The sequence below is a fragment of the Homo sapiens genome, chromosome 14 (genome assembly GCF_000001405.40).
Source record: "Homo sapiens chromosome 14, GRCh38.p14 Primary Assembly".
In the NCBI taxonomy this organism is placed as follows: domain Eukaryota; kingdom Metazoa; phylum Chordata; class Mammalia; order Primates; family Hominidae; genus Homo; species Homo sapiens.
The window spans coordinates 80,553,656-80,579,906 of NC_000014.9; the positions used below are offsets into that span (position 1 = coordinate 80,553,656).

At 36.4% G+C, this 26,251-nt stretch overlaps 1 protein-coding gene across 15 annotated transcripts in view; it reads right to left on the reverse strand.

Annotated features, from left to right (window-relative positions):
* The window catches only part of CEP128 (centrosomal protein 128), a 482,534-nt gene that overhangs the window by 76,687 nt on the left and 379,596 nt on the right, over nucleotides 1–26,251 (reverse strand). For 8 of the 15 annotated variants that reach the window (NR_157142.2, XM_047431023.1, XM_047431021.1 and 5 more), the window contains one exon: nucleotides 5,624–5,647. Coding sequence is in view for 14 of the 15 variants with exons in the window: in XM_047431023.1 (XP_047286979.1) it covers nucleotides 5,624–5,647 (24 nt within the window). In the remaining variant the exon portion in view is untranslated. Of the gene's footprint in view, nucleotides 1–5,469; nucleotides 5,648–15,299; nucleotides 15,390–26,251 lie in introns of all 15 variants that reach the window. The other 7 variants (XM_011536493.3, XM_011536491.3, XM_011536492.3 and 4 more) reach the window with 3 other exon arrangements.

Sequence of the window (26,251 nt, forward strand, 5' to 3'; positions counted from 1 at the left end):
TAAAGTTTTTTCTCTTATGTACTTTGAATTTTTTGTTACTTTTGCATGGGTATAGTTTTAATTACATTTTCTCAGTAATTGTTGCTTGGAGGTAGAAGTAAAATATCCTGTTTTTTATCAAAGAAATTGCTAAACTCTGTATTTTTTCATAATTTAACTATGAATTCCTTGGGCATTTTATATAAACAAGAACAGTATTTGCAAATATCAATTTTACTGCACTGGCTAGGCCCTTCTGCACAGTGTCTAACAGAAGTTGTGGAATAGCACATCCTTTGTTCCTGGTCATAGAGGAGGACGTCAGCATTTCAGTGCTAAGGTGATTTACCCATAGAATTTTTCCATATGACCTTTATCAGATTAAGAAAGTTTCCCTCTATTCTTAGTTTAATAGAAGGTTTATGATGATGATGGTGGTGGTGGTGGAATCAATGCTTCTTATTCATTTATGGGGATGGCCTTTTCAAATTTTATTTCTCTCTAATCTGTCACTATGCTATAAATTACATTGATTAATTTTCTAATGTTAAACCAACTTGTTTAACTTAACTGAACTGCTGGAACAAACTCAACTTGTTCATGATGAATTATTCTTTTTAAACATTCCTAAATTTACTTTGCTAATCTTTTGTATATATTTTTGCATTCATGTTAATGACTAAGGGTCTAAATTCCCTTACTTACTCTTATGCTTGGTTTTAGCATAAACGCTATGCTGACTCAGGATATAAAATGGGCATGTTCCCTCTTTATCTAGTCTCTGGAAGAGTTTTATAAAACTGAAATTATCTGCCCCTAGAACATTCGGTAGAACTTATGTATAAAATTATTTGGGCTTGGTAGCCCTTTTCTGATTAAATTTCAATTGACTAAAAATAGTTGATTAAAATTATTTATTTAAAATTTAGTCATGCTATTTCTTCTTAGTTTTTGAAAATTATATTTTTCTAGGAATTTGTTTATTTCTTCTAATTTATAATTAGAAAATTATTCAGAACACTTTGTTATGTGGTTAAATTCTCCAAGACCTGTAGCTATATCCTTTTTTTCAATCATAATGGACAATGGTCTTTTTTATTATGATTCGTTGGTCAAATAACAGACTTTACTTTGTTAGCCCTATTGCATGTTTTTTTCTATTTCATTAATTTTCAGTCTTTATTTTTCCCTTCTTTTGTTTTCTTTAGGTTTTACTCTTTTAATTTCCTTTTAATATCTTATGTTGGGTGATAAGCTCATTAATTTTTATCCCTTGATTTTGCTCTTTCCGAAAGAGCCACCAGAAAAAAATCCTTCCCAACAGAATGTTTCAGTAACTAGTACTGACCAGTATGAACTAACATTTGGGAAGGACCTATTTAGATCCTGATATAAAAGATCCCTGATGTAAAACATATAAAACCCTGATATAAAAAAATCAAGTCTAAACTGCTTGGTTTGTATTTCAGAACGTCAGAATGACTCCTCTTACTCTCTCAAACTGTTATCTATCTCTCTATACATTATCTCCTATGAACCGACAGGGGAAAAAAATGTGAAAAGGCTTTGAAATGGAACAAAAACTTACTAGGTATCTTCAATGAAGGCCTAGTTTTTGCCTAGCACATCTGTCTGGGCTTCCTGATTCTGTGGGATCTCTGTGCTCTTATTGTCTTTCAGTTTTTATAACTTTATGAGTTGCAGACAACTGATAACAAAAATGCAAATAATTTTTGTTCACAGACAATAAATTTTGTCTGGTAGGGTTCCACTGATCTTCCTTCCTCATTGTAGAAGAAGCCAATTTTGCCTTTATTTAAAATACATTTCAGCACTCTGTAGTGCCTATATATGTGTGGTTCTTTAAACACTCCTTTAAGTCATTTGTAACTTCTTGTTCATTCCCTCATTAATTAATGAGTTAAATAAACACATTTGTCACAAGTTAATTTTATATGTGTACGGGAGTCATGATTTTACCTTAAAAAATCCTTTTAACAAACCCTTTTGTTCATTACTGCCTTAGACTTCGATAACATCTCCAATATGAAAGGGCTTCTGGGGCTCTTTCTATCTCACTACTGATTCTTCATATTTCAGAAATAAATTTAAGCTCCTCTTCATGTCCTCAAACTGCAAAATCTATCATTTTCACAATGAACCCAGATCACAATGATGCAATGATGCCTCAATTCTCTTTACAATGATCTTTTCTTCAAAATAGCTTCTGAAAATGCATTATCTTTTTCATTCATGGACTGTATTTTTTTGGTTTTTATCTTTCATCATTTAATTCATTTAAATGAATGTGTCTTCTTTACTCAAATAGAGTACAAATTCCTTGAAGGCATTGATCACAATTTACTTTCCTTTTTTCTTCCTTGGTGTCAACACAATGCCTCATATTGAGCCCAATAAATTTCCACTGCTGAGTCCCATCCTTGGCCCATGAGCAGGGGCTCTCAATCAAAGTTTTTTCCCATGTAATCACTTAGCTTTATTTAGGGAATCAACCCATTCTATTTTGGCTGAAGGTGGTTCCATCCCAGGAAAATTTACATTAACATTTAGTGAAGATGGTTAGAGCTTCTGTGAAACACCAAATAGCATATAGCACTGACCAGGAATTCTAGGAAATAAAGAATACATTGCCGTGCTTCTGGGGAATTTCTCACAACTACTGGACTAATGCTATTTATTCCTGAGCACAGTCTTATGTGAGGTTGAGATACATGCAGTTTAACAGTCATTCTTTCATTCTACAAATGTTTATTGATTGTCTACTATATATCAAACATTTCTGACAGACCCTGGCAACGCATTTGCAAATAAAATGCAGTTTCTAATCCAAGGAGCTTACCTGCTATTAAAGAAAGAGAGGGAAAAGTTGAGGAAGACGGGGAAAAATGGGCATGTGACTGTGACCTAAGCAGATAGATAATTGGTGGCAAGCTAAACCAAGTTTCTTATTATGATGAAAAGGTGATCTTCTTTTCAGGTATTATAACTACTGCACTGCTAAAATCAATCTACTGTAAATACTCCTAATGGAATGGTGAAATTTCAAACATTTGCATATTGATAGCACCATGATATATGCTCTACATGCAACACCTTCTGTACTGTTAATAACAACTCAACCAAATATGGACCAACAACATTTTTCTAAGTTTTAAGCACTGACTTGGGAGAGAATAATAAATGATCTTGAGATAGCTTTCAGCATATTTGATTTTATGAACTATAAAGTACTTTATCAGTTGAAGAGTCTACCAAGTTCATTAAAATCTGTCCCTTAAAATGTCATATGAAATCAAAGGACTTCATAATATTTGATCGTTAGCACTATTACTGAGCATTTTAATTTTTATGGTTTTATTTATAATCATTTCAAATTGAAACTATCAAAAAACTACTGCTGTTTAAAATCTAGTCCTTTAATCAATTTTATTTTTCCCATGGTGACTTTTTATTTTTACCTTTATTCTTACGGGAACCTTTAGGTTAGGACATTTGTGATTCTATTCCTCTGTACTTCGTTAGTGAAGAGATTAGATAAAAACAATTAACAAATACAAATAATCATTGTTGCTGATATAATTTTCAGTTTTGCATAGTATATAGGTAGAATTCAAATGATTAAATAAGAAGTAACAAGCAATCGTGGTAACGATAACATTTGTTTGGTCCTAAATATTTTCACGTGTATTTTCTCTCTTAATTCTTAGAGAAAAATGATAAAATAATTTTAATCACAACCATTTTACAGATGAAGGAAACAAGAAAGAAGTCATTTGCTAAATGTTGCATAAGCGGCATTTTGTACACCAAATCCAGGTCTTCAAACTCAAAAATTACGTTTTTGTCCAGATTTTTTAAAAAAGCATTTAATTCACAGGCCAAATTCTGTTGGCAAGACACTTTCTAAGGGTAAGTAAAATATATGTGGAAGAACACTAAACATTTTATTCACCAACAATGTCATCATACTGAAACTGAGAATAGTGTACTTTCTAAATGGCCCAGTGAAATCTCAGGAAGAAGTTATTTATCCATAGGGTCTGGACATCGTCAATCAAAATCACTTGCTTGCATATTACTAAAATGTGGTCTGTAACCATCTTTCCTCTCTTCATACTCACAAATAAACATTTCATTTTTTATTAACCTTATTATCTAAAGATTTTTTTCCTGCTTGTTAAAAATATAAAAAGAAAAAAAAATCACTACGACTAAGATACTTCTAATATTTTATGTATTTTCTTAGCCTTTTTAAATGTAAAATATGCACATTTAATATTTTTATCACTCTTTATATATCTTTATATATCACTTTTTCATATATTAGCACGGCAATATTTACTTTTTTGAAAACCTGACTGTTTATGGTTGCATAGTATTTCATCAAATACTTGAAAAACAGAAAGAAATAAAATTAAAATCTATAATTCTTATGTAACTGATCACTGTTGTGAGTTTTGCTTACTCTCTTCTGTTCTTTTTTTATATGCCTATATGTCATCATTAAAGTACACACCATTTTATATCTTGAAATTTTTCCATTTAATATTATAAGCCTTTGTATAACCACTGTGGCATGTTGGGTGAAAATTCCATACTCTATAAAACCATAATTTTATTGACAGTAAGTTGGTTTTCCTTTACTTTTTTTTTTTGAGACAGAGTCTTGCACTGTTGCACTGGAGTGCAGTGGCATGATCTCGGCTCACGGCAACCTCTGCCTCCCAGGTTCAAGCAATTCTCCTGCTTCAGCCTCCCGAGTAGCTGAGATTACAGGCTCTCACCACCACACCCGGCTAATTTTTTTAATTTTTAGTAAAGACGGGGTTTTACCATGTTAGCCAGGATGGTCTCGATCTCCTGACCTTGTGATCCACCCGCCTCGGCCTCCCAAAGTGCTGGGATTACGGGCGTGAGCCACCGCGCCTGGCCAATTTTTGTATTTTTAGTAGAGACGGGGTTTTACCACGTTGGCCAGGCTGGTCTCGAACTCCTGACCTCAAATGATCCACCTGCCTCGGCCTCCCAGAGTGCTGGGATTATGGGCGTGAGCTACTGCGCCTGGCCAAAAATAATTTTTCAATGAATATTGTATGCATGTAGTCTTGACATCTATGAACTTGAAAAATTATTTCTTAATAGCACATTCCTACAAGTAAGATTATTCAGAAAAAGCTGGCATGCTTGCATTATTCTTTTTGTGACACTGGTGAAAATAATGTTTATAAAAACAATGAATGTTAAAATCTTAGACTTGAAAGAATAAATAGCAAACTGATCTCAGTTTCTTATCAACCAATCCTCTTAGTGATTGTGAAATACAGTAGAAACACCAAGTATTGACTATATTTAATATATTTTTCATAAATTAGTACATCTTGACATCAGAAATACTGAGAGATGTGACCACTTAAGTATGCTCACATTTTTATTTAATTTTTTTTCATTTTAAAGTCTATATCCACATACCTTTTAGATACAGTTTAGCTTGTTTTCCCCTTTGACATCTTAGATGTAGTTTTCGAAATGATTTCTGAAACTGTTTCCTTTGGTGTGCTGTGAAATCCACATCAGGAGACAGCAGTAATTCTGATAAAAGGAGAAAGAAAATGCCCCAACTTACCGTTTCTAATGCAATTACACGGTCCTGCAAAGAAAGCATAATATATAATTATAAAACGAAGGCTGTTTAAAATTGTTTCAAGTTTACTTAATTTACAAGTATTCTATTTACCATCTATTATTAATAATTCATTTTAAAAATGTAAAAAATGAGAACTATTCAGAATGATCTCTAGAACAGAAAAATAGTCATCAAAGAATGAATGTATCTTTTTTCATCTCATTTAGTGCTAGGACTACAGAGTTTAAGAGTAAATGCTACAATTCTAGTACAGTTAATGAAAGGAATAGAACCTACCATTTTTGTAATGGTAAGATTATTTATAAGATGTAAAATGTTAGATTTGATTATATGAATCACAACTAGACAAGAGTAGTGATATAGACAAGGAATTAAGCACATATTCTAGCTCTTAATTAGGTTTACAGCGAAAAATGTGGTCTCCACAACAAGCTGAAATTCAGACATATCTTCATCAATTAAAATAAATGAGTAAATCATTATTGAAAACAAGGCAGGAAAATAAATGAGAAAGATATGGCACATGCAGCCAATCCTGAGCCCAGATAGGCCTTCATTGTCTACAGCATCTTAGAATGTTTATAGAAGGACTGGCTTTAAAAGGGGTCATTGATAACGATGCATCAAAAGCTAAATGATTAAGAAAATGTTTGTATTCTCAACTCCATAGTTGTATTCTCAAGTCTTTCCAGAGGTGACATCTATAAACAGGAAGTCTTCACCAAATAAAGACTGACTCTGAGACAAAGCAGAGTGTGAAGATCTAAGAAAATGAAAAACCATCCTTTTTGAGGTGGACCAAGGCCATTTGCCTTTGTTTTCTCTTATTTTAAGAACTGGAGGAGGTCAGGTGCAATGCCTCACACCTGTAATCCCAGCACTTTGGGAGGCTCAGGTGGACAGATCACATGAGGCCAGGAGTTCGAGACCAGCCTGGCCAACCTGGCAAAACACTGTCTCTACTAAAAATTAAAAAGTAGCCAGGTGCGGTGCCGCGTGCCTGTAATCCCACCTACTCAGGAGGCTGAGACAGGAGAATCACTTGAACCCAGGAATCAGAGGTTGCAGTGAACTGAGATCAAGCCACTGCACTCCAGCCTGGGCAACAGAGCAAGACTACACCTCAAAAAAATAAAAATAAAATAAAAGAACTAGAGGAAATATGTGGAATCTGGATTTTTAAAAATAAAATTAATTAATCGTCTAAAGAAGTGTAAAGGTAAACACTGAGTGTCAACTTGACTGTATACACGGATGCAGGGTGTTGATCCTGGGTGTGTCTGTGGGGTGTTACCAAAGGAGATTAGCATTTTAGTCAGTGGGCTGAGGAAGGCAGACCCACCGTTAATCTGGTGGGCACAATCTAATCAGCTGCCAGTGAATATAAAGCAGGCAGAGAAATGTGAAAGGGGAGACTGGCCTAGCCTCCCAGCCTACATCTTTCTCCCGTGCTGGATGCTTCCTGCCGTTGAACACTGTACGCCACGTTCTTCAGTTTTGGGGCTTGGACTGGCTCTCCTTGCTCCTCAGCTTGCAGACAGCCTATTGTGGGACCTTGTGATCGTGCAAGTTAATACTGAATAACTACCCTTTATATATATATATATCTCCTACTAATTCTGTCCCTCTAAGAGAACCCTGACTAATACAAGAAGTAAAGAGAGAAAAATGGCGCACAGAATGACTCAGCCCAGGTCTCCTGTGGTCCTGCAGGGACCCACATAGACCTATGACACTTAGAAGCAGAATGAACTTGGCCCCTACTGGCATTCTCTCAGTATCACATGAAATAGAGGGCTCACTTATAAAGACTTCTGCAAACTAACTTCCAGCAGTCAGACTGGGAAACAGTTGCACATTTCCACCCTGTAAACATTTGGCTATGTGGGCATGAGTTAAATGAATACATTATGCAAAATTAGCCCAAAGCAGACTGTTTCTAGCAATATAATCTGTTTAATTGCATTTTGTTGGCATAGTTAAGAGGGCCTCACCCTTACCCTCATAATTTTCATAAAATAACTGCTATGTTGTTGGTGACTTGTATATTGTCACATTTGAGCACTTCATAATAAATGCGTATGATGCCTCAAGGGGGCTTTGATCTATTGTTGCCAGGCATCTAATTCATTGTGCATCTGGGACAAAAACCATTCAGCAATACTTTAATATCCTTTGCAGATTGAACAGAACGTCATTAGATGCCTTATACAGAGAGAAACAGCCTTTGGGCAGTATCATATTTATATGAACCATCTTGGAAGACTGAAAATATTTACAGCCCTATTTGGGCCTTAAGTTTTCCCTATACCATGGGTTTGAGGGTTGCTATTAGTTAAGATTAACGTATTTTAAAAGCATACCTAGAACTGACTTGAAATAGGCGATTTCATATAATGTCAAAACAGAACAGAATTAAACTGTCTGTCCTAATTCATATCTTAGTGTTTAGCAGAGATAAACTGATAGCATTATAAGTTGTGTATGAGTACCTTCATTTTACTTAATTTTTTATTTTAAAGGAAATATGTGCCTAGTTTATGTGACTATTGACTCAAATGGTCAAGACAACTCCATTTTGTTGAAATACGAAGGTCTATATATATATATATATTTGTTTTGTTTTGTTTTTGTTTTTGTTTTTTTGGGACAGAGTCTCACTCTGTCGCCCAGGCTGGAGTGCAGTGGCATGATCTCAACTCACTGCAAGCTCCGCCTCCCAAGTTCACGCCATTCTCCTGCCTCAGCCTCCCAAGTAGCTGGAACTACAGGTGCCCGCCACCACATCCGGCTAATTTTTTTATTTTTAGTAGAGACGGGGTTTCACCATGTTAGCCAGGATGGTCTCGATCTCCTGACCTCGTGATCCACCCGTCTCAGCCTCCCAAAGTGCAATAAATAAATATATTTGAATCCACTTTAGTTATGTTTGTTTGCCTATAACCTACTCTATTCCAAAATGGTACTGAGACAGCTTTCAATAAAAAAACTGTATGTCAAAAAACATGAGGAAATTAGAGAAACAGAAAATTTAGTTCATTAACCTTTCAGTAATTCAATATGCCAATCAACAATAGCTAATAAGATACCAGCCATTGTAGTCAATTACTGATTTTGTCTAAATTATAGTTTTCTGTCTCAATTGTAGGCTGTAAATAAAGAGAAATTACTAGTCTTCATGAACTTCTTATTTGATTTTAAAATTTAAGAAATGCATTTTGAAAACTTAAGTGGTTATGGTTGACACTGTTTTTGGTAAACAAAGTTAGTTATATATCTTTATATAAAAAATTATGCTACTGTGTATCATTATTCTCAATGGAAAATAAGCCAACAACAGTGTAGCTTTTCTTTTCTTTTTTTTTTTTTTTTTTTTTTGGAGACAGGGTCTCCCTCTATCATTCAGGCTAGAGTGCACTGTCACAATCAGAGCTTACTGCAGCCTATACCTTCCATGCTCAATTGATCTTCCCACCTCAGCATCCCAAGTAACCGGGAGTATAGGTGTGCACCACCACACCCAGCTAATTTTTTTTTTACTTTTTGTAGAGATGGGATCTCACTATGTTACCCAGGGTGGTCTTGTACTCCTGGGCTCAAGCAATCCTCCTGCCTCGGCCTCCCCAAATGCTGGGATTACAGGCATGAACCACCACACGTGGGCCAATACTGTCAAAGCTTTGATATGCTTCATGATTAAAAAAGAAAAAGCCAGTATATGTCCTAGAATGAACATATAATTACAACAAAATAAATTATATCTCCATAACCTCTCCCAGTTTACCCAGAGCTGCCTTTGTAATTTTTCCCTTTTTCTTTAATCTATAATTTTCATTTAAACAGATTTAAGTTCAACCTGCAGGTTCATTACTCCACCCACCCTTCCAAACCACCAATCCCTGAACCCCACTCTCAACACACTCGCAGGGCTTAATCCTGAAAAGAAAAGTAAGCATTGCTAGAACAATGAAAGGGCATTAGGAGGTAGGAGAAGTAGACAAGGGAAGACCACTCCCAGGAAGTAATGAAGATACTTCCATGCTATTTCAGATGGTTTTAATAAATCAGTGGCTCTTATTTTTGTGGTAATAGACTTTGAGAGTCTAATAAAACTTGACATTCTCCCTAGGAAAATGTACATTATATGCAACACACATATGTAATTTTATATATACTTTTTGGGGTAATGCAGACTCTCTGAAGCCTACCCATGGGCCTCCAAATCTTTTTTTTTTTTTTTTTTTTTTTTTTGAGATGGAATCTCACTCTTGTCGCCCAGGCTGGAGTGCAGTGGCACAATCTCGGCTCACTGCAACCTCCACCTCTTGGATTTAAGTGATTCTCCTGTCTCAGGCTCCCGAGTAGCTGGGACTACAAGGCGCGTGCCACCACACCCAGCTAATTTTTTTGTATTTTTAGTAGAGACAGGGTTTCACTGTGTTAGCAAAGATGGTCTTGATCTCCTGACCTCGTGATCCGCCTGCCTCGGCCTCCCAAAGTGCTGGGATTACAGGCGTGAGTCACTGTGCCCAGCCCAAGTCTTTTTACTCCAAATAAAAACACCTAAAATAAGACATAAGAATATCATAAAAATAAATTATTGTATTACACTAAATGTATTTATTTCCTCTTTATGAAACATGTCTAGATACATAACCTCAGTAACAAAGAAATAAACAATTATGACTATAACTAAGGGCTCTTATAGGGCAGAAGTAAAAATGTAAAATTCTAAGTGGGAGTGAAGGGTTAAACAAAAAACAAAGGAAAATTTTTCTTCAAATACTTGGAAGAAAAGAGTTTTCTGGGAAAAAGCCTGTTTTGTTGCTACTGTTTATATGTGATTGGATAGTCCCTTTTCTATTATTCTTTAGTTCTAAGAAAGGGAAAGTTTATGAAACACCTAAATTGACATAAATATTTTTAAAAATGTTTACTCTTAATGACTGTACATGTAGTCACTGCATAGATATTGGATTACAATGGAGCAGTGCTAATAGCTGTTCTTACCAATAAGTGAATATTACACTTTCTAAGTAAAAATAATGTGGCTAGACATCATGTTTTAATTTGTTCTGGGTTTGACAGATCAGGTAAGGAGAAGCCATATGATATAGGATTCCCTCAATATACAAATTATTTTGGGGGAAGCCTAAAGCATGTATACAATAAAAAGATGTATTTTAACTTTTGAGGTTAATGAGGTTTTGAAACTGCCTTTGCAAAATTATAACTGAGGAAATTATGACAGTGACAGAAATTAAACCTAATTGACTCTATCTTGCTTTTTTCTAACCCTGAAGCTGTCCTTGTTCACTCCTGGGTGTAGGCTGAACTAACTTTGGGAAGGAATTCAGTTCATGGTTTGACTCTGAAACAAAATTGATAACCGCCCTTTCCCAAAAAGACCTGCTTCTTGCCTGGGGTCCAGTCTGCCTTTGCAGGACTAACAAATTAGCTACAAGATTAGAAATTTAGGGCAGGCGCAGTGGCTCACGCCTGTAATTCCAGCACTTTGGGAGGCTGAGGTGGGTGGATCACCTGAGATCAGGAGTCTGAGACGAGCCTGGCTAACATGGCGAAACCCTGTCCCTACTAAAAATACACAAATTAGTCAGGCGTGGTGGCAGGCACCTGTAATCCCAGCTACTAGGGAGGCTGAGGCAGGAGAATCCCTTGAACCCAGGAGGTGGAGGTTGCAGTGAGTCGAGATCACACCATTGCACTCCAGCCTGGGCAAAAGGAGTGAAACTCCGTCTCAAAAAAAAAGAAAAGAGAAAGGAAATTACAATTTAGAGGTCATGCAGCCTCTGGCTTCCAGAGTCTGAACCTCCCCAAATTGCTCCTGGTGATAACATCATTATTGCAAAACCTAAGATCAGTGCTTGAGATAGTTTGCAGACCCTGCACTGGATGGATCAGCTGACACTACCCACACCAGTAATCTGGCCCAACCAGTTCTGCCATCCCACCCAAAAACAGAAGACGTTAAGATAACCTAACTTTAACCCCCTATGATTCCATCTCCAACCTGACCAATCCGCACTCCCCACTTCCCAAGATTTTAAAGGTAATTTGGCAAGCGCCTGCTTGCCAAATTATCTTTAAAAACTCTGGTCCCCGAATGCTTGGGGAGACTGATTTGAGTAATAAAACTCCAGTCTCCTGCAGAGCCAGCTCTGCGTGAATTACTCTTTCACCATCACAATTCCCCTGTCTTGATAAATAGGCTCTATCTAAGCAGCTGGCAAGGTGAACCCATTGGGTGGATACAGTTTGTAACTAGCCTTAAGCTGTACATATTCATTTGCTACCACAATGAAGTGTACTTTAGAATTTAGGAATGGACCAAGGCAAATTCATTAGTATCACTGGAGATGAGCAAATATTTGTAGGCTGTTAGGAAATGAGCATTAAATGGATCATTTGTTATCAGAATATCTAATCATTAAAAGTTTATTTGATTCAGCTGAGCTAATCAGCCACATCGATTCATCCATCACATCTCAGAGATGAATTAGAAACTTATAGGTCTAAATAATAATAATTCTTCTGCCTCTGGTGAGTACAGTTGAAAAGTCTAGTGACTTTATTTTATCATAATAATGCAGCATTTTCCAAGAATGCTTTAAAGATATCATTAGCATATGAAAAAGCATAACACTGGCATAAAAACGTAAGAAGAGTCTTCTATCTTTTCCACATCTTAGAAGCTTGAAGAGTATAGAATAATTCTGGCAACTTCTCTGGGACTTAGGGACCATGATGGACATATACTTTTCAAAAAGAAAAACCCACATTGAGGACTCCCTACCATCACTATTGTAAAATACAAAGCCTGTCTTCTGGAAGAAAAATCCACTCAACTTCACCCAAAGAGACCACTGCATGGCGTTCTTCCTTCCAAAGTCAACTCTGTTTAATCCACACTCACAGTTTACCTGCTACTTCCTAAATAAACCCTATAGAATGAAATACAAATATATATATTTTTTCTCCTCAGCATTTCCCCATGACAATCCATTACGTTTTAAAAATTTGTCAGTCATTTTAAATAATTAAAAGAGCTAGAAGTCATTTTATTTGAAATTATTTGAATACATTTAAAATAGTATTCTTTGCCAAACTTTAAGATAATGAAAAGGGAAAGGCTTTGATTAATCATCACACACAAAAGGTCAGCATTTCTTACAGTGATTTAAAAAAAATTCAAACAAAATCAAGACAAAAATCACTATCTCAGTGTAGCAACATCAAAAAAAGCTTTAAAATGTAGCATAAGTTGGCTTTGAATATACCAAATGCATCTGTGATTTATATATAAAATTGTATGCTATCTATTAAAAGTCAGTGAAAGAAGTTTGTCTATACATCAAATACTCCAGGATGGGTGGCATTGGAGCAGCTTGCACTGGTTTCCCAATCATCCTGTGTTCACTGTAACCATCATTAGATACCTGTAGTCAATTTCTGTTCATTCATTTCACTGGCTGCTTATGTGCCTTTTCAAACAACCTACTTCAGCGTCTAAAATAACACAACACACATATTGAAGAAAAAAAAAACAGCGAGGCTTAAAGATTTTGTCTGAAAAGTTGTCAAGGAAAAAAAAAAAAACCAACATTTTGACTTAGGAAGAAAAGCCAATTTAAAGTGATATGTCATGTTCTAGCCTACAGGGAAGCCCAATAATGGTCCTTGTTGCCTGATTTTCAACCTGGGTGTGGCAAATCTCTGATAGAACCAGAAGCAGAAACAATCACAGGATTTAAAAACAGACTCAAGGTGGTTGATCCACATTTCCAATATGTTCTGTCATTTACTACTATTGCCTTGACAGAGACCTGAGGGCAGCCAGTTGTTCTTCTGTAGCTTTCTTCTGCTGTGTTCTCTGGTGGGTGTTTTAGTTTGTGGTTTTATTATGAGGAGATTATTGACCATTATACTTCAGTTTTGACATTGTTCAGGAAAGGCTGCGGTTGTATTTATATTGAAGTGGGGTATGTGTACGGGTTTGTGGGGTGAAGAATACAAGTGGGGAAAACAAAGAAGATGAAGAGAAAGATACAGAAATGGGGGTCTATTGGTTTGTTGGGACAGATTTCAGACTGGAAAATGCAGCCTGAGCGGCAAGGTAGGGTTTTATTTAAAATCCCTATACATACTTCTAGGTAGCTATATGAAACTGACACCAAAAATTCTGAGACTACCCTTTAAATTTCAAATCACGAAGCAAAGCTATGAGCTTTCTTTTCCTTATTTTCCTTTAAAATAATCATTTCAAGATTCTTCCTTTAAAGCACAACGTAATGTGGTACATAGGTGTGTGCTACAGAATATCACTACAGACAAAATGAAGGGCAAGAGACAGAATTATCTTTCTCCAGGGACTGTCAAATTCTCCAGTGAAACTGCTCGTAACAGGTAACAAAGGTGAGTGACATCTGGACTGGAGAACAACTAAAGATTATTTGCAGATAAAATAAAGACTATGATGGTGGCTAGGGGCAATGCAAAGGACAACCAGTGCAATTTCAGATGCTGACTGTCCCCACAAAGAGATGGAGAAAGAGGAATTGAGGAGTACCAGGAGAAGGCCAACAACTCAGAAACCAGCACACCATATATTTTTCAAGGATTTACATTTAAAAAAAAAAAAGTACACGACACCAGTCGTGAGGTTAGTCATGTATCAATGGCATATGCCCTGAACTCCTATGCAAATCATATTGCAAGAATGATTATGGCATAATTTATGAGCAGGCTTGTGTCATGCAGAACTTGTGGAAAATAAGAGGGTATGCTTTCATTTTCAGGTACACAAAGGGTTGTGTATCTGACTGCCACTGAATATAGTTGGTCTAATGAGACTCCCTGAGGCTGACATCTCCTTTGTTTCCCCGAAGGGCACATATCTCCTAGGCTTCTAGGTGAAAAAGTTTACAGAGAAACCCATATAACCACAGAATCCTTCCTCCCACGCCGTGTTCTCCTGAGTCTTTAAATTACAGCACTGGATTGTTAACTATCATGCATGTCACACAGCTGAGTCATTAAATGCTACAAGTAAATAGTCCACCTTTGGAATTAATGACTTACCTTTGGGCAATTCCAGTAATCCACATCATAATTTACATGCAGAGTCATTTACAGGAACTAATGCACAAGGAACATTGTAATGGAGACTCTTTCTTGCCCGTCACTCTCATATTCTTTCTGTGTGCTTCTGTGTTCAGTTACCCCTCAGCATTCTACACTAGAGGGGCTGCTGATGAGGATGATCAACATCGAAGCAGAAAGTCTTAAACTAATACAATGGCTGAGATGGGGTAGCTTTTTCTTGCTTCTTAATTCAGTTTGACTGAGATTAAAACTATTATTAATCTCCATTTCCCAACACACACGCGCAGGTAAGAAGGGAAATGTAGCTAAACAATTTAAAGTAACCAGATTATCTGCCCTCTGATTATCATTGGTACACTCTTCTTTCTAAGAACAACGAGGGGAAAAAAAAACCAACAACTAAGTTTTTAGCTGCACTTCTGGGAAGCATACATGAAGGCTGACTTATCCTATATGCACTAAAATAAAGCAGATGTATATTAACTGTTCAGTCCCAAATATCCTAAATATTCCTACCTATGAAATACTTAACTGCTTTTTCTTCAAACTGAGCTTCACTCTGATTTCTCACTGCAGTCTGACTAGCATCTTCCCAAGGTGGAAGTTTAAACAGTAGCTTCGGCTGTTTGAGAGAGATGTGAGTTATGAAAAAGAGTTGGAAAGCTCTATTATCTTAAAGTAATTGAAAATGTTATAAATAGTAATAGCTATAAAAACAGCACTAATTTGACTATAATAATTTCAAACAAATTTCTAAATTTCTGCATTTAGAGAAAATGATATGATGTAGTACTTTTAAAATGGTCCCCCAAATAATTCCTTACCCAAATTAAAGTCACAAATTTCAGGGACATTATTACTTTAAATCTAAAACATTTTACTTTTCAGGACTATAAATAAAGAGTAGTGATTTAGCTCAAAGCATCCTCAACTGTATTGCTTTCAAAATCATCCCTGGAAGTAAGTGATCTTAAATTCCAAAGTCTATGAAATGAAGGAATAAATTGGATGAGAGTTTGTTAATAGCCTCACCTGGGCAGTTTTCGCCGGTAATGACAGCTACTCACAACCTTACCTGTGGATAATGGAATGCTGATACAGTGTGGTTGTAGGAGTTCAGAAAAGTCTGATTACTCAAAATTATACTTTCTTTCCATTTACCAAATTATTTCAAATTCTACCAACAGAAATTTATTCTTTGAGGAAAAATTCAAAAAAATATTCTTATTAGACTCTCCCTATGCCAGTTAACAGTTAAACTAGTTCATTCTAAAGCAGGGGTAAGCAAAGTCCAGGCAGGCACCTGTTTTTATAGGCCCATGAACTGAAAGTGGTCTTTACATGTTTATTTGGTTGAAACCAATCAAAGCAAGGATAATATTGCATAACATAAAAATACTCTAGACAGGTTGGTCAGCTTACATCCCTATGAAGAGGTAACATTTGAGCTGAAACCTAAAAGAAGGAAATGAGCCAGCCACTGAAAGAGCTAAAGGAAAAGTATTACCGAGAGAGGCAGATGCAGAGATCCTGGGATAGGAATGGGTTTCCTTAATTTTAAGAACAAAAGGGACACTGGTATGTGTTATGGCTATTAACGAAAACATCCCTTTATATTACTAGTACCATAAAAATCAAAACTATTTATTGTAAGTTTAATTGCCAAAACTGCATTGGGTACTTTTAACATATGTTCTTTTTATTTATTTATTTGAGATGAAGTCTTGCTCTGTTGCCCAGGCTGGAATGCAGTGGCACAATCTTGGCTCACTGCAACCTCCGCCTCCTGGGTTCAAGTGATTCCCCTGCCTCAGCCTCCTGAGTAGCTGGGACTACAGATGCGCATCACCACGCCCGGCTAATTTTTTGTGTTTTAGTAGAGATGAGGTTTTACCATGTTGGCCAGGATGGTCTTGAGCTCCTGACCTGGGGATCCGCCCACCTCGGCCTCCCAAAGTGCTGGGATTACAGGCGTGAGTCATCGTGCCCGGCCCATATGTTCTTATTTTTAATGTTCATGAAAACTTCCAGTAGGAGGATATCATTAATTTCACTCATTTAAAGCCAGGAACATAGACTTCAAAGACATTAAGTGTGTTGAAGTCCATGTTGTGATTAAATGTAGGGGGTCGGGGAGGCTGGTCTGTAATCCAGCTCCATTTGACTCAAAACAGTCTATACTAACCTCAAAAACAAATTAAAAATTGTGAGAGTGTGTGTGTGTGTATTTTTTCTACTTAACAGCCCAGCAAAATGGAACTAATGGAAATATCATATGCATACAGTGAGGTTTTATGAGCAAATAGACAATAAATTCTTTTTTTTATTAGCATCAGGGTGACTTTGTGGTTTTCCATGGTAGAGGTTAGGGGATGCACTGGGTAACTGCCCTGGAGCCTCTTCCTTAAAGTATGCCAAAACAGACTTCCAGAACCTCATTTTTAACAGGCATTAGGTAACAGTGTAATAAAACATACTATATCAATAAAATTTAATGCCCAAATAAAAAAATTATTTGTATACATTTTTATATTTATTTCACTATATAATAAAGGGGCTATTATATTGTTGCCATATGTCTTTTCTAAGTAAGTTGCAACTCCTTACTTATCTGGGTCTGACATCAGGACAGCTGAAGCACATGGCAGTCAATACCACTGCGGAAACAGCACAAGAAAGGATTGAGGAAAGCAAAGACCTAAACTTAATTAGCTGTAATATTGTGCAGCTAAATGACACCTATATTGTGCTGGTCCCTTAGATTTTTTGGATCTGGACCGCAGGGGTTAGATTCATCACTGAGATCATATCTGGCCTCTGTGCTTCAATCCCTGTTTCAGTCGTGACCAATGTATTGGTTCTTTTCTCACAGTGAAATAAGAACTAGGGATTTCTATTACAACCAGAATGTAGTAAAGGCATGGAATCTCTTGTAGGTACTATTTTCTATTTTACTTTATGGGCAAATACAGAAATATTACTTACAGACATTACATGTTATTTATTAACATGCTAATAAGCCTTCACACATTTAAAAGTAAACATTAAACTTCTAACAAATTAAATCTAGAATAGTACATGTAATGCAGAGACACTGGAAAAGGAATGCACTTTAGAATCAATTTTTAAAAAGTAAAATAATCAACTGATTATAATAAAAGTAAAAAGTATAAGAGGAGATGCTTATTAGTCATTTTTGCAGCTCATTTTAGTTTTGTCACTTTTTGCACAATTTAAAATTTATGGAAACGTTCTAATGTTGCCTTTAATTTTTTTGCCAGAATTATTTTGAACTTGGTTGAAAACTGAAATTGACGAAGAAGGAAAAAAAATGGAAGAAATTGAAAGAAAAAGAGGCCAGGATCCTAAACAAATCAGAACAAAAAAAAAGAAAGGTGAGGAGATTCTGTTTTTCATTGCTCTTAAGTATAGTAGTATAGAAGCCAAGAAAGTTCAAAAACAAGTACTAGTTCTCTCACCGGCTGAGGAAGTATGAGTCTCAGCGACATTATCCATACAATTACAATAGTAGTTACGTACCTTGGAGGATTGTTGCGAGTAATAATTTACATAGATTTAGCAGTTTTACCACAGTGTATGACACAAAGAATTGCTTGGTTTCATGTGTGACTTTTTCCCTCTCCTTTGACATACAGACCATCACCCTTTGGGCTGATTTAGCACAATCCTGACGGGAGTTAGCAAGTGCTAAATAAGTATTTGTTAGTAGACTGAAGCATAAAATAAGTGAGTTTTTAAGATCCCAGACTGGGGAAATCCTCTGCAGTGTTTCTGTATATTCTGGAAAATCAGCTAGAGATTGGGTGGGGAGATGGCCTTAGAAGTGAGAACTACAGTTTCTTTTAATCATGTATTATTAGTACTTAGGATCTCAGAGATTTGTTTCATGAGTCAATGAAAATGTGTTTCAACCAGAAAGGTATTATTGCTGAGCATTTATTTCCAAATCTGTTGCACACTATAGTCATTACCCAGAATATTGCTTTTCACAATTCTCATTGTTATCCAGAGATAGACGATAAAATGGATTAACATAGATATTTGCCCAAAGTTTGAGGTCTGTCTAGGGATGTGCTGTGAGAGGTATAAGCAATGTACTGTAAAATATTAAGGGGAATGATCTTGAAGTGATCACTTATGTTCTGTAACACAAATGAGATTGCCCCAAATTACAGGGTGCCCACTGACTCGAGACTGGCAAAAACTCCCAGATAAACTTAAGACTGAAACATCATAATGTGTTGAGATTTGAAAACAACAAAAAAAAACACAAGAAAACATACACTGCTATCTACATAAGCCCCAATGCCCATGGAGCTCAGAGCTCAGACTCTTGACAGTTGAGCCAAGGTATGTTTTCTGGAAGCGTTGCTTTTCACAAAGTCAACTGTAAAGGGGATAGTGTATGAAGATGAGTCAAATCATCTTCCCCCTGGTGGGAGGAATTTACCTATTCTGTAAAACACACCCAGGTCACTGTTTTTTGTTTTTTGTTTTTTGATGGAGTCTTGCTCTGTTGGCCAGGCTAGAGTGCAATGGCGCGATCTCGGCTCACCGCAACCTCTGCCTCTCAGGTTCAAGCGATTCTCCTGGCTCAGCCTCCCAAGTAGCTGGGATTACAGGTGTGGGCTACCACGCCTGACTAATTTTTTTTTTTTTTTAGTAGAGACGGGGTTTCACCATGTTGGTCAGGCTGGTCTCAAACTCCTGACCTCAGGTGATCCACCCACCTAGGCCTCTCAAAGTGCTGGGATAATAGGCATGAGCCACCTCGCCCAGCCTTTTTTACTACTAACTTTTTAAATAAACTTTCTGTCACAGAGAAATATTTGGGCTTTTGAGCTCAAAGACTATGCTTTGATTTTCCATTTTAACAATGTTTCCAAATGATGTGTGTGTTTTTAGAAGCTTTTTTAGAAGCTTGATTCAAGCAGACTGCTGAGTCTTGAAGTCTTGCGCTTTTCATCCCATTGGATAAACAGAACCAGGCATGTTTTTATATTTCTTTTATTCTCAAATGAAAATGACCTAGTCAATCAACTTCGATATATTCAGACACAAGAATACTTCTTTCGTAGGGTATTCTATTTTCAAGTTTTATACTGTCATAAATTTGGGATTAATATTAAGTTGCAAATTTCAGGTAAAACAGAGTGACAAGGTTTAATGAGCACTACAATTTCAGTGGAATCCTTTTTACTGAGAGTGGGTCCCTGCTCTCATGAGGTCTCTTGATGTAGTAAATTGAAGGGTGTAAACCTAATTGGCTGAGAACCTGTTTGACCCCAAGGCAGACTGCTAATGCGTTCTTTCTGGTGTAACTTTGTACCAAATTTAAGGTTGGTAAGCCTGTTCACCTTTCGAGAAAATAGAGATTTTAATGAGCTGTTAAGTTACCTCTGCCTGAAAGTGGCAAAGGGTCGCCCAACCTTCCATCCCCACAACACTGTATTTTGTTTTGTTTATGCCATTGCTTAGAACAATTATTTTTAAATCACATTTCAGAAGAAGACATAGAGATACGCAGTTATTTGCCTAAGCTTTGAGGAATGCACCTTGAGAAGAATACGTGGGTATGCATTACATTTTGGTTTCCAGAATAATAAAAATTCTGTTATAACTCTCACGAGTCATCTTAGGGATGAGTAGGGACTGTATTACTTTCTAGTTTAATGAAACCTTAAACAGTTAATCCTAATTTATCAATTTATTCAAATTGAGATTTCTAAAAATGTACTTTAGTATCTCCCAAGAAAATGGGAATTTCTGGGGAAATGAATTGCTTCAGTTCTTTCTGAGATCCAGTGAGAGAGCAGAGCATTCCCTGTCACCCTCATCCTTCTAAAGCAATTCCGAGGGAACTCTAAAATGGACTCGTGGCTGCCCCACCCTGCATTTCTACCTGCAATCTCTAAAAGTACTGGTTATGGGCATGCTACAGTTCGGCAGAAAAGACTGACAGCAAAACCACAGAAATTATCCACCTGGTCGATCAATAGCCCAGTTTCTCACACGGTTTCCTTACCAGGAGGATTAGCCATCTACTGGGTATTGAGAGGTTCATGTACTATCTTGCCAGCTTCCAGGAGGGTAATTTATTTGCTAATGACAGTCGCATTCTTTGGTGGCTTTTCCTGCCCGGTTTATCTCCAACAGTTGTGCCTGACAACTCTACACTGGCATTCTTTATATTATAACACCCTAATATTAATATTTATTACACTTGTTCCAAAAGAACCAAGAAGGTATATTCTATTTTTTTCCTCGAAAGACTGTGTTGCCATAGGCTACTCCATAAGTAGCTGAAATAAATAATGGCTGGGGAAGAGATTATTTTCCCCTTACTGCTCATTTCAAATGTTTTTGCCTAAGCACTATTGAGGTGACAAAAACAAAATCTAACACCTGTCCCTCCACCCCTAAAACAGTACTAAAAAGAAAATCGAACCCTTCAACTGGGAGATTCCAGACTATTTTTCAAAGCCAACTGATAGACAACTTAAAAATGATTATGGGTCATCTGAAAAACAGCATGGCACTAATGATATTTAATATCCTTCAGGCAGAGCTTCTGGAATGTCTCAGAAAAATCAGTCACTTAAATATATATATTCAAGATTGTACATATTTTTATATATTTTATTATAGATTTATATAATACAATATTATATATAAATCTGTAATTAAAATCTATTATATAGTATATGAAATATTCATATACATGTATATATACAAAATCTGTAAACCCACTGTTAGAAATTAACAAGATTGAAAAGGATTCAGTTCATTTCTAATAAAATTTCTAATAATACCAAATAATGTGTTCAAAAATACTTATGACAACATTTAGATTACAGGTCCTACAACTAAAATGCTTCCTTTCTCCTCCTAAAATAATGAGAATGATATTCATATGTAGCCCAATAATCAATTAATTATTGCCACATCATGACTTTTTTTTCGATTTTTCATTATATTTAGCAGCTGGCCAAAGACATAATACTACTTTCTTCAGCATAATCTGATGAAAATATGAATTTAAATTTCAGAGTTGACCATGGCAGGGGGGAAGGTAAGAGAAAGGGCAAGGGTAGAAGGTGGCGGAAGAGGGAAGGAGAAGCCCGATGGGGGCAGAGACCTCTGACTTGTTTATTGCTTTATCCCTAAGCATGCAGCATCATGTCTGACACATAGTAGGTGTAAACAGTCACTGTGTGGAATTAATATTTATTGCAACCTGTCAGGCACCAAAGTTTTCACATTTCTTATGGTAGCTAATCCTCTCAAGAGTCCTATGAAATCAGTATTATTATTATCCTTAATTTACAATATCTATATATTGTGCTGACGCAAAGTAACCTACCAATGGCTTAGTATGAAAGGAAAATGAATAGTAAAAATTATGTTCATAATCATCTAGTTTTAACTCATTTCAAATAAAATGAAGAGAGATGACTGGAAGTTATCTCATGACTCATTTCAAATAAAATGAAAAGAGAGATGACCAGTAAGTTATCATATGAGTAAGGGCACATGAGTTTTGCAGATACTCTGTTCAGTGACTGTCATAGGTAACACTGTGAAGCTTTCATAACTAAGCATGATACTAACTCTCGGTGTGTGCTGTATTTTAGGATTCAGAAAGCAACATGGGGAAAGGTGAACCAGGTAGACTGGTATTTAAAAAAATAAAAACACTAAACAGCAGCAACACCTACCGCTATTAGCCATCACGAGCAAGGTGTCAAGTCACTGAATGCAATTCAACTAAATTGAGGAAAAATGGATTACCTTGTGTGTCTATTTTAAAGTTTCAGCTGATCTTGAGAGGAATGAAAAAGGGATTTGCTTGTTTCAATGTATCTCAAACTCATATGCAAATAAAACTCTGATACTGCACTACACATTTATAGTCAAAGACAATACTTTAAGAGGAGTAGCACACAATGCAACTGCAAATGAATGTCACACACACACAAAAATAAGGCAGACAATGTTAAGCTCCAATGAAGAATTTTGGTAATTACAAGCTGTATTGTTAAAAATCACTGTCAAATATGTTTGTCTCCATTGTTTGTGATTCCTCTTAAGATTGAAAACACTCTCCTCCCTGAGGCTCCACCCCCCCTGCCGTTTTATCCTTCTCCACTGCTACTACCACTCATGTGAAATTACTCCGGCGTGTGTGTGTGTGTGTGTGTGTGTGTGTGTCTGTGTCTGTGTCTGTGTCTATACAGGAATGGCAGAATTTGGATGTCTCTCCCCAAAACATTTAAACAAAAAATGAACTCTAGGACAGGACAGGGATTGGTGTTGTTTTTTAATGGGTGGATCTTGAGGAGACCCAGGAATAGGGGCTATATAAATAAGAGACCAGTAGGGTGGCATTTGTTTGTTTATTCAGTAAACAAAAAATTATTGAGTACCCACTAAGATGAGGCACTGTGCTAAGTAGTGGACATCCGGAAAAGTGAAAGACATGAGAGTTGATTGACAGGTATGACAGGAAATTACAGTTCGTTGAAAGGTAAATTTTTGTTTTGAAACCTAAACCCCATAGCTAAATGGATTCAAGAATTTAACAAATATTTATTCAGTTCTGTTGATGATCTTTCCCTTGAAATATTCTTTTGCTAAACTTCATAACACTATATGTTCCTGAAATTATTTCCTTTATGTCTTAGATTCCTTTGCAAGATTTTCATCCTTAGCCTGTTGTTTAAATGTTGGTGTTTCCTAGGGTTCTGGCCTAGGATTTCATTTCTCCTCATTCTAAATACTTCCCCTGGGAATTCACATTCGCTATATGACTTTTAGTATCATTCTTATGATATGGACAACAGACATGATGGCATCAAATTCTGCATGTTCAGATCAAACACCTTCTGAGCTCCAGACTCAAATGAACCTCCCTTAACATTACCACCTGGACATTTCAAAATACCAAAAATTGAACTGATCAACTTCCTCCTATATCACTGAAGAGCACAACTATCTGTGAAGTTGCCGAATCGAGAAACACAAGAATCATTCTTAACTCCTTCCTTTTTACTTCCTAACAACCAATCTCAAAGTTCCATGGACTTTATATTCTAAAACATATTAAGAAGTCACCCACTCCTCTTCATGCTCTCTGCTGCCACCCAATCCAGGTCACCATCATCTCTTGCCGAGAGTCTCACAAATGTCTGCTTAATTGGTCTCCCTGATTTCAATCTTGCCTGCCTCTAATTATTTTTCACGTTACAGCCAGGTATCTATTTAAAATGCAGATTTACCATATTGTTCTCTTATTTCAAACCCTTTTCCAATTTCTCATATACCGAAGGTAAAGTCCAAACTCCTCCACGAGGTCCTTTAGATCTCTGTTTACTTAAAAAATTCTTGTTTTGCTGCCCCTCTCTCAGATGCTACATTCCAACATACTGAACTTTCAGTTCCTTAAACATGAAACTGTGCTCTTTTATCCTAGGCCTTCCCCTATCCTTTCCACTGCTAACTCCTAGTTATCATTCCAACATTGGCTTTCTTTGGGAAGCCTACTTGGATTGCCACCCCACTCCAGTTTAACCTACCTCAATCGTACTTAATTCCCTGTCAGTTCTGCCAACCTACCCTTACCTATGACAAACAAGGACAGATGTTCTTATATGTTCCCACAGTCACTTATACTTTTCCTTTAATATGAATTTTGAGGATTTTATTATAAACACTGATTTTTATAGTCTTCACTAATTATAATATAGAGGGTAAGAAGACATCTAGTACACACAGCTTGCCTTTGTATCCCTAGCACCTAGTACAGTGGTGTGCACAGAATTGGTGCTTGATAAGGGTTTGTTCAATGAGTAAATGGAGTACCTCATTTATAGGAAATTGGAAAGGGTTTAGAGCTAAATAAAATACCCCCTACCCCTAAGGAGAATGACATAAAATGCAGAATATCTGTTATACATAATTATAAGATGATAATGAGTAAATAAAATTGACTCCAATTTGGATACATGAGGATGTGCTAACATTGTAAATTGGAATTAAATATTTAGCTCTCCCTTCTGGGATCATCTAATCCACACTAAACACTTCTGGAAGACAGTTTTATGATTTTCTATTACAGATGAGAAAATAGGCACAGCAAAGTTAATTGAGTTATCCAAGGTTACCCAGTGAACCAGAAACACAGCCAGGTACTATTGTGTCATTGTAGGATTTCAGCCTATATACTTGAATAGTATTCTTCAAACTATCACCTCTGATAATCATATGTGAATATAGAAACTCAGGAATATAGGCACTTTTCCAAGGATTTTCCTCTAGCCTTTAACATTAAAGGCTTTCTGTGATATGCTTCTGGACTCTTGTGCATTCCGAGAGTTCCTTCTTTATTCATAATAGAGTGTTAATATCAGGCACTAGTTACCATTACAAAGTGTCAACATTTAACTCTTCTGCTCTGGGACATCATATTACACATTCTCCAACTATAAATGTCCATAGCTAGTTGGTTGGTGCATTCTATTGCACTGGATGGACATTTCAGTAGAAAATGCTGCCAGTATTTAATAAACATTTGAGAGGCAACACAGGCTATTAAATTTAATGAGATTACTAGTTCCAACATTTGCACTGTGAAAGAAAAAACTACTTGTGCTGCCATTTCAAAAGGCCAGACATATACTCAATAAGTATGTTTATATATGTTATTCTGGGTAAACACAACACACAACCACAATGCCTAAAAAAGACTTTCTCAATATACACATTTAGTGTACAAAGAGCTATGCTTTTTATAACAACAAGCATTGCTGATATTAGTTTCACAGAGATAGGCAGGTCAAGTATACACTTGAGATTCTTCCTAGCCCCAGACTGGACTAACCAATGCTCTTTTTTTTTTTTTATACCTGAATATAGTACAAGATGTTAAAATAATCTAATCTGTACAAAACTGAAGCTAACATGTACCACTTTTACTGGATGTATAAACTATGCTTCCTTTGCATTTTCAGATCAATTATACAATTTTCTCTTAATGGGTATACCATCAGGTAGAAGAATCCCCAATCACAGAACACTTCTCTTGCTCTTTGGACTTTATGTGGCCTATCTTTCATTTGCCAAAAGCAAACATCTTTACCCGTAAAGCACTCAAACCAGCTCATGACATCACTCTCCAGTCTTGCCTTGTAGCTCCAGGCCCATGAAGAACTCTAAATGTCCAAAGTATTTACTGTTCTTAGTCCCCAACCTGACATTAAGTGAATTGGTTCTATCATGGGAATATAACTGATTATGTTTCCCCTAATAAAGACAGACACTTGAGTTACCCATTTGTAAGTTAGCCCAATGTGAAAAGAAGAGAGAACTTCTGTCAGATGCCAACTTCACATCCATTGCTCATATCACAGAAATATCAACTAAAATTCGAGTGGAATCTTTCTAACACCATTTTCCAGCCCAACA